General features: G+C 54.6%; 2 annotated features.

Moving 5' to 3' along the window:
• Positions 232 to 732: an enhancer, noted in NCBI's record as "H3K4me1 hESC enhancer chr16:57543642-57544142 (GRCh37/hg19 assembly coordinates)". NCBI's record gives its function as "activates a minimal SCP1, AML or CMV promoter by ChIP-STARR-seq in primed H9 embryonic stem cells {active_cell/tissue: H9 hESC(primed)}" and the evidence as "EXISTENCE:reporter gene assay evidence [ECO:0000049][PMID:30033119]".
• Positions 1,428 to 2,420: an enhancer, noted in NCBI's record as "H3K4me1 hESC enhancer chr16:57541954-57542946 (GRCh37/hg19 assembly coordinates)". NCBI's record gives its function as "activates a minimal SCP1, AML or CMV promoter by ChIP-STARR-seq in naive H9 embryonic stem cells {active_cell/tissue: H9 hESC(naive)}" and the evidence as "EXISTENCE:reporter gene assay evidence [ECO:0000049][PMID:30033119]".

Genomic DNA, 7,928 nt, shown 5'->3' with positions numbered 1-7,928 from the left:
AACCACGGGGACTCCTGCTTTGTGGCCAGTGGAAAGTCAGCGCCAGTGGAAAACAGGGCTTTGAGAAGAAGGTCATTTCCTGCCAGGGATCTGTCTGCTTTCTCTCCCAAATAGGAAGTTGGTCCCAGAAAAGGCTGAAAGTGCTGCCCTTTGACCCTGAAGAGCTAGGAGGCAGGAGCCAGGCCCTCACTGACACTAGCTCTAAGAGCCACCTCCGGCTGGACCTGCCAGACCTGCCATTCCCAGACACAGAGCAGACCCTGTCTGGCGTGGCCAGGCTCCCCCAGACTCCCTGGCACCACCTGTGAGATAGCACTGAGCAGGGGCCTCATTACAGCCCCTATCTCCCAGGCAGACTGCTCCTAAGAATGTCAGCAAGGAGAGGGTCTGGCTTCCCACCTCCATGGTACACAAGAAAACAGGCCTCGGGAGGGGAGGGACGGTTGCAGATAGGGCTTGGAGATGGTCCCAGCCTGGAACGTGTGCTGCTTCTGCTCACAGCCCTTCTGTGGCTCCCCAGCTTACCTGCAGAGAAAGTCACCTAGTGTTCATGGTGGCCACTGCCCAAAGAAGCATTAGCTTTGCCTCATTTGATACTTTAAAAAGTATTTAATGCGTTGCTAACATTAGTAATGGGAGGTTTTCCCACAAAGCCATGGGGTTCCCTCTCTTGAGAAGTTAGCATCTCTGACCAGCGTGGACTCACTCCCACATGGCTACAGCTGCTGGGCTGAGAGGAGGCTCCTCCCTGGGGTGGGACACAGGCACCCTGGGCACCGCAGTCCCCACCACTCCCTGCAGCCTTCCCCTGCACTGCCCTCACTCATTTAAATTACTGCCCCACTCTTGGAGGCATTTGAAGATTTTTCCTCGGGCTTAGTCCAGTTTCTCTTTGAGCAAGTAAGGAAACAGAGAGAGGGGAGGTGCTGAGCCCGCCAGCATGAGATGTAGCCAGGCCAAGAGCACATGTCACTCGCGGGCTCTGATCCCCTGCAGGCTCCTGGTCACTCCAGGGGTGACTGCCAAGAACAGCTAGAATGTGTTGAGCGCCCCTCCCACCCCACTGTGCCTCACAGGCATCGTCTCACTGATCATTCCCAACAGCCACACGCGGTAGGTGTCACCATCATCATCCTATTTTATGCTGAGGATCCAGGGGCTCAGAGAGATGGAGTGATTGTTCCAAGGCCACACAGCTGACTAGACATGAAACTGGGATCCCGGCCAGAGCCCACACTCCTTTATTGTTTTTATTTATTATTATTATTTTTGAGACAATGTGTGTCTGTGTCACCCAGGCTGGAGTGCAGGGGCACAATCCCGGCTCACTGCAGCCTCTGTCTCCCAGGTTCAAGAGATTCTCCTGCCTCAGCCTTCCCTGTAGCTGGGATTACAAGCATGTGCCACCACGCCCAGCTGTTTTTTGTTGTTGTTGTTGTTGTTTGTTTGTTTTTAGTAGAAACGGGGTTTCACCATGTTGGCCAGGCTGGTCTCAAACTCCTGACCTCAAGTGATCCACCTGCCTTGGCCTCTCAAAGTGCTGGGATTACAGACATGAGCCACCGCACCTGGCCCACGCTCCTGATCATGGGTCGCCACCCCACCCTCCAAAGCAAGGCCCCATGTGGCCCCTGCCCTCTGCCTCACCACCACACTCTACTCTGCAGACGCTGCAGCTCCAGCCATGCCGACCTCCTTACTGCCCCGAGTACTGCCCTGCACTCATCAAAGTCCCACCAGCCCTTCAGAACTCGGTCTACTGGGCTCATTCTTAGCGTGTTAGAGGGGCTGTTTATGTGTCTGCTGCTTCTGCCCCCCTGGCTGCTCCTGGAGGACAGAGAATCCTCTAGCAACCAGCACATGCCTTGGGCCTAGTGGGCATCTTTAAGTGTTAGAGGGGAGGCAGGAGGGAAAGCTTGATGGATGCGTGGAAGGATGGGTGGAGGAAGGACGGATGGGTGGGATGGTAGAAGCTGAAACCAGAACCCCACCCCACCCCCAGCTCCACTGCAATAACTGCCAGGCCAGTCCTAGGAGGGTCTTGCTGCTGCCCAGCTAAGTCTTCCTCCTGGAGGGGGACGTGGAAGTCCCCCAAGCCCAGGTACCGAAAGCCACAGCAGCCCAGGGGCAGCAGTGTCAGTGCCTCTCCTCACAGGCTGGAGTGCCCAGACGGGCTGGAGAACCAGCTGAGCCAGACACTACCCCACCACCCAGCCCCTCCTCTCCCATAGTGGGAGGGCTGGGGGCCCTGGGCCTGTCCTTCCTCTCCAGCCAAGGCCATTTTGTCCAGCCTGACTCTACCAGGCAGCCCCTAGGGGTTCCTGCCTAGAAATCCATGTCCAGCAGTGAGCCCTCTGCACTCCAGCCCTCCAGACAAACCTGGCTTCTGGCCCCAGCCTGCTCTCTGATTGGCTATGTGTCTTCCAGTGAGCTCCTGCCTCTCTCCCAGCTTTGGTTTCCCTATCTGTCAAATGGGGACAGGAACAAATGGGCTGTCCAAACCCGCCTTCACTGACATTGACTGTGCCATTCTATTCCCTCTCTGACTCTCCCTGCTGCCCTGTATTTCCTCCCAAGCCCCCACTGCCTTGTCTTCCTGGGGCCCTCCAGCCACTCCAGGCAGCCCTTCTGGGCCAGCGGAGCGGGGCTGGAGGCAGCGGCAGCATCCAGAAGCCAGCTGCAGCTCTCAGCCGGCCGCCTCCCACCCCCACCCCCACCGGCTCCCCTGCCTACTTTACTAATTGCAGGGTTGCAAGATGCCATCTGCCTCCCAGGCCCCAGGCAGGCGCCTCCCAATGGAGAAGGGCCCCCCTGGAAAGCCTCCCAGTCTTCCTCAAGCCCCACAGACCCAGCTGCACTGGGGGTGGTCTCCAGAGTGCTCAGACTCCCTCCCCATCCCAGGGAGGGGGCCTGAAAAGGTGGAAGCGTGAAGCCTTCCTCCGAGGCTTTCCCATTTCCCAGGCTTCCCCTACGTCAGAGAGGAGCAGCCTGGCCTTCCCCTCCCCTGCTGAAGGCCTAGCAGGGCTGGCCACATCCTGGCTCCTGGGGTGCCCCAGACTCTCACCCTTGAGCACATTCTCCAAGTGGGCTCAGCTCCCTGTTACTCTAGGGAAAAGTCCAGATGGGCCCCTTGCTATGGCCTCTCCTCCTCCCCAACTGCCTTCCCCAGCAATGCCACTGCACCTGCCTTGCGACCTGGGCACCAATGACCTGGTCTGACTGCATGCCAGAGAACACAGGGATTTGGGACCATGCTCCATCAGCCCACCCCTGGACCCTGAGCTCCGAGCTCTGAGGGCAGGAATCCTGCCTGCAGGAACCTGAGTGTGTCCCCAGGAAAGGAAGGAGAGTGTCATTCGGGGCTCATGCTCCTTCTCTATTTTGCTGTTTAATTTTTACCTTCATAACCCCCTGGGAGGTGAAAAATGGCAAATGAGAAAACTGAGGCCCAAGGAGGGAAGGACCCAGCCAGGAAGTGGCAGGATCAGGATTCGAACCAAGGTAGCTCCAAAGGCTGGGCATTTGCAGCTACAGCACTGAGCCAGCGATGAGCTGACAGCTGTCACCAAACCCTCTCCCTTCAGATCATTGTGCAAAGCCCTTTCTCACCCAGAGCCTCACCTGATCCCCTAACTTAGAAGGGTTGCAGTTGTGAATCTCATTACCTAGATGAGTAAACTGAGGTCCAGAGAGCAAAGTGGCTTGTCCCAGGGTACCCAGCATCTGTGTCCTGAGAATCCCCAGATCCTCTTAATTGGGCCATAATCCATCACTCCTTTATCCCCCACCCATTCTTTTTATTTTTTTTCGTAGTTAAGGAAATAATGACCCCTTCATTATCATAAATTCAGAGAGCGTAACCAGACAGATGTGGATTTGCCTCCACCCCTAACCATGCAAGCCGCACAACATCTCAGAGCCTCAGTTTCCACCTGTGTAACACGGGATGTGCTGTGGGGCTTAGAAAGGACCTTTGTCACGCCCCTCACACAGGGTCCAGCACCAGCAGTATTGTTGTGTGTCCACCTTTGTCCCAGGGCACCTGTCAGGTCTGTGTGGGAGACCAGTTGTTCAGGCAAAAAAAGCACACTTGTCTACACTGGGGCAGGATCCTTGTCCAGGATCTGCCTCTGCCTGCACGGCCTGCCCTACCCAGCCACAAGTGTCTCCCCCTGCCCTCAGTCCCCTCTCAGAAACCTCCACCCGATCAGTCGCCCAGGTGTCTTTTTTTTTTTTTTTTGAGACAGAGTCTCGCTCTGTCACCCAGGCTGGAGTGCAATGGTGTGATCTTGGTTCACTGCAACCTCCGCCTCCCAGATTCAAGCAATTCTCCTGCCTCAGCCTCCCAAGTAGCTGGGACTACAGGCATGCACCACCACGCCCAGCTAATTTTTGTATTTTTAGTAGAGACGGGGTTTCACCATGTTGGCCAGGCTTGTCTTGAACTCCTGACCTCGTGATCCACCCGCTTCGGCCTCCCAAAGTGCTGGGATTACAGGCATGAGCCACCGCTACTGGCCCGCCTAGGCATCTTAATGCTGAGCTATCTCAATTCCAGGATAGGATGGGGATGGGAAGTGGCGATGCTTAGAGAGCAGTGACACCTTTGTCTGTCCCTGGACCACCACCGTCCCCACCATCCCCACCCTGATGGCTGATAAACTGGACTCAGGTGTATAACAAAATCCTGTAGGAATCAGTCTGGTAGAAATCCTTTATCAGATGAAGCTTATCTGGTCCCCCAATCCCTGAAGTGTAAACTGAAGAAGCTGCCAATCTAAGAAAGGTAGGGGCAGAGAGAAAAAAGAGGTGCCAGGCTAAACAGGCTGACTTCGTTATTTCTTTTGATGCTCCTGACAGCCCGGTAAAGTGATGACAATTATCCCCTGTAAGGGGATAATAATTAATTATCTTACAGGTGAGAAAACCGAGGTTGAGATCTTCAGCAGCTTCCCAGGGTCTCAGAGCAACTAAGAGGCAGGGCTCGAACCAGGGCTAGTAACCCCACTGCATCTGCTGCCCATGGCACACCCTAAATATAACACACACCTCTTCCTGGGCCTCCCGGGGCCCTGAGGTCTGGATGGTGTCTCTTTTCACAGCTTCATCTCCCCACAGCACCCCCTCCCTGACTATATGCCAGTCCACTGGCCTCCTTTCCACTCCTCCAACACCCCAATCCCACTCCTGCCTCGGGGCCTCCAGCCGGGCTGTTCCTCCTGCCTAGAACCACCTTTCCCTCCTTCATATCCTTCCAGTCTCATTTTAAAGGTCACTTCCAGGCCGAGTGCAGTGGCTCACACCTGTAATCCCAGCACTTTGGGAGGCCGAGGCGGTGGATCACTTGAGGTCAGCAGTTCGAGACCAGCCTGGCCAACATGGCAAAACCCCATCTCTACTAAAAATACAAAAATTAGCCGAGCATGGTGATGCACACCTGTAAACCTAGCTACTAGGCAGGAGAATCACTTGATCTGGGAGGTGGAGGCTGCAGTGAGCGGAGATCGTGCCACTGCATTCCAGCCTGGGTGCGGAGTGAGACTCTGTCTCAAAAAAAAAAAAAAAAAAAGTTAAAGGTCATTTCCCAAGGGCAAGGAAGTGGTAAGGGCTTCCCTGACTCCTCTAGCTAAAAGGATACACCCTCTCCTGTGCCCCTATTAACCTGCATTTCAGTCCCTTGACATTGATTTTTCCAGATGGCTTCACTTTCCTCATTGCCAATGTTTTCACCTGGCTGGTGCTGCCCTCCCGTGACCTTGCCGGCCGGCGAGTTCCTCCTTTTTGCTCACCTTGGTGCCCCCACCACCTATGCCTGCCACATAGCTGGAGCTCATTAAGCATTGGATGGATGGATGGATGGATGGATGGATGAATGGATGGTTGGATAACCTCCCATGCTTCCTCTCAGGCCCCTGCTCTGGGCACTCGAAGGCAGCAAGAGCTGGAGAGAGAAACCAAGTCAGGCAAATGCACTGTGCAAAGTTTTTTGAGAGGAAATTCAAAGATGCAGTGCTATTAAAAATTGATATTTCAATGAGATAATCCCTCTCCTAGGCTTTTAATTGATTGTCTAAAAAGCCTTCCTCTGTTGTTGTGCTTCTTTATTTGCAGGGACCATTAATTTTTTTATGGACGATCAAACCCAGATAGGGTGGAGGGGCTACCGCACGGCTGATTCAAAAACAGTAACAGAGGCGCCAGGAAGGAACATCTGGGGTCTGGCCATGGAGCTGGCCTTGGCTGTGGGTCCTGGCAGTGGGGGGGCTGACTCCCTTGAGGAAGGAGGGGAAGCTCCTATGCATCCAGGACACACACACACATACACACACACACACACACACACCCCTCTGCCCTCAGTCCCAAGGGACAGGCTTCGTAAAGGGAGGAGAAGGTGGAGGCTCAACAAGGGACTGGGGCAACAGGTCCCCCAACATCGAGGCAAAGCCCCATTCTGGGAGGTGGGACTCCTGGGTTTCTCCCTTGCCACTGGTGGCCAGTTCCCCATCCACTCCAGGCATTGGTCCCTTGCAGGACAGGGCTGGAGGTGGACAAGGAAGAACAGAGAAGAGGACTCAGGATTTCTAGATGCTGCCACTTCTCCCCTCTGGGCCTCAGTGGGGGTAACAGTGGCTCCAGTCTCAAGGGATGGCTCTTCAGGCCAAGCACAGCACCTGGCACCCATGAGTGTGCAGGAAGAGCTTCTGTTGCTCTCACTGTTGTTAATCTCAGCTTTCTTCTCCCGCTCCGCAGGCAGCAAATCCTTGCCACGCCAGTCCCTCCCACATGCTGGGCTTGCACGGCTTTGTGGCTGCAGAGGTGTTATGCGCGCACCTGTCTGCCAGGTCACCGGCCCCATCTGCTTCTACCGCATCTATCCACTCCATCAGCCTGACAGGCAGCCTCAAGGAGGCCCCAGAGGCTCTCCGGCTACCCGGCAGTGAGCCATGGCTGGGCTGGGCTGCTCCCCGAGCTGGCCTCCCACGCTTACCTCCTCTCTGCTGCTCCACGCCTGCAAGACCTCTTTTCTGGGAGGAAGAGACTTGCCAAGAAGGCCAGCTTCACGGTTGTGCGGGCAGCCTGTGCTGTCACTTTGGGCCCTACACTTCCGAGGGCCCAGGGCTTGGTTTAATGCTCTATTGTCACCCCTCGGCAATTTATTAATAATTTGTCGGCAGGGCACATATTCTTTTTGTACTGGGCCCCAAAAATGATGTGGCCAGTCTTGCTGCCACAGGACAATGCTGCTTCAGGAAATGGCCGCAAGGTGCATCCCCAGGGTAATGCCTATACCTTTAGGCCATGGACTGTCCCTGCAGAGGGTTGACCTAATCCCCACACCTTCCGTCTTCACCTTACCCAGGTCCTCCCAGCTGCTCAGTGCAGATGCCCTTCAGGGGATGCGCAAGTTTGTGGGGAATGACTTCTCCACGCATCGCTAAGTCTCAGACCCTGGGGAGGGGACTTAAGGGTATGGCAGGGGGGTCCCCAAACCCATATGTTCAGCAAGTCTCATCTGTGGACTGAGCAAATAATGTTTCACCCAAACAATTGTGACTCTTGTCAAGTGGAAGTTTGGAGTCCTCATAGCAGAGGAGGAACAAATTAATTTGAATCATCTGGGGAATTCCTAGTAGCCTTTGGTCAACATATTGGTCTTGGAAGGGTTTTTTTTTTTTTCAGGTACTGAATATTAAAGGTAAGACAGCTTTGACCTTATGGGCATCAGAAGATTTCCTCCATCGATGCCCACCCTCAGATGGGAACAGGGCAGGCTGGCAAAATGCAGCTGAAACAGTTCACTTTGAGAAATCTCTCCTAAGGAAGTCTGTAAGCACACATCATCTGTAAGTGCAGGCGCAAATATTTAGCCACACGAGTGCTCATTGTGGCATTGTTTACAAAAGCAAAAATAGAGACAGCTAAATGGC

This window comes from Homo sapiens, chromosome 16 (genome assembly GCF_000001405.40).
Source record: "Homo sapiens chromosome 16, GRCh38.p14 Primary Assembly".
NCBI lineage: Eukaryota > Metazoa > Chordata > Mammalia > Primates > Hominidae > Homo > Homo sapiens.
This window is presented reverse-complemented; position numbering and strand designations above follow the sequence as displayed.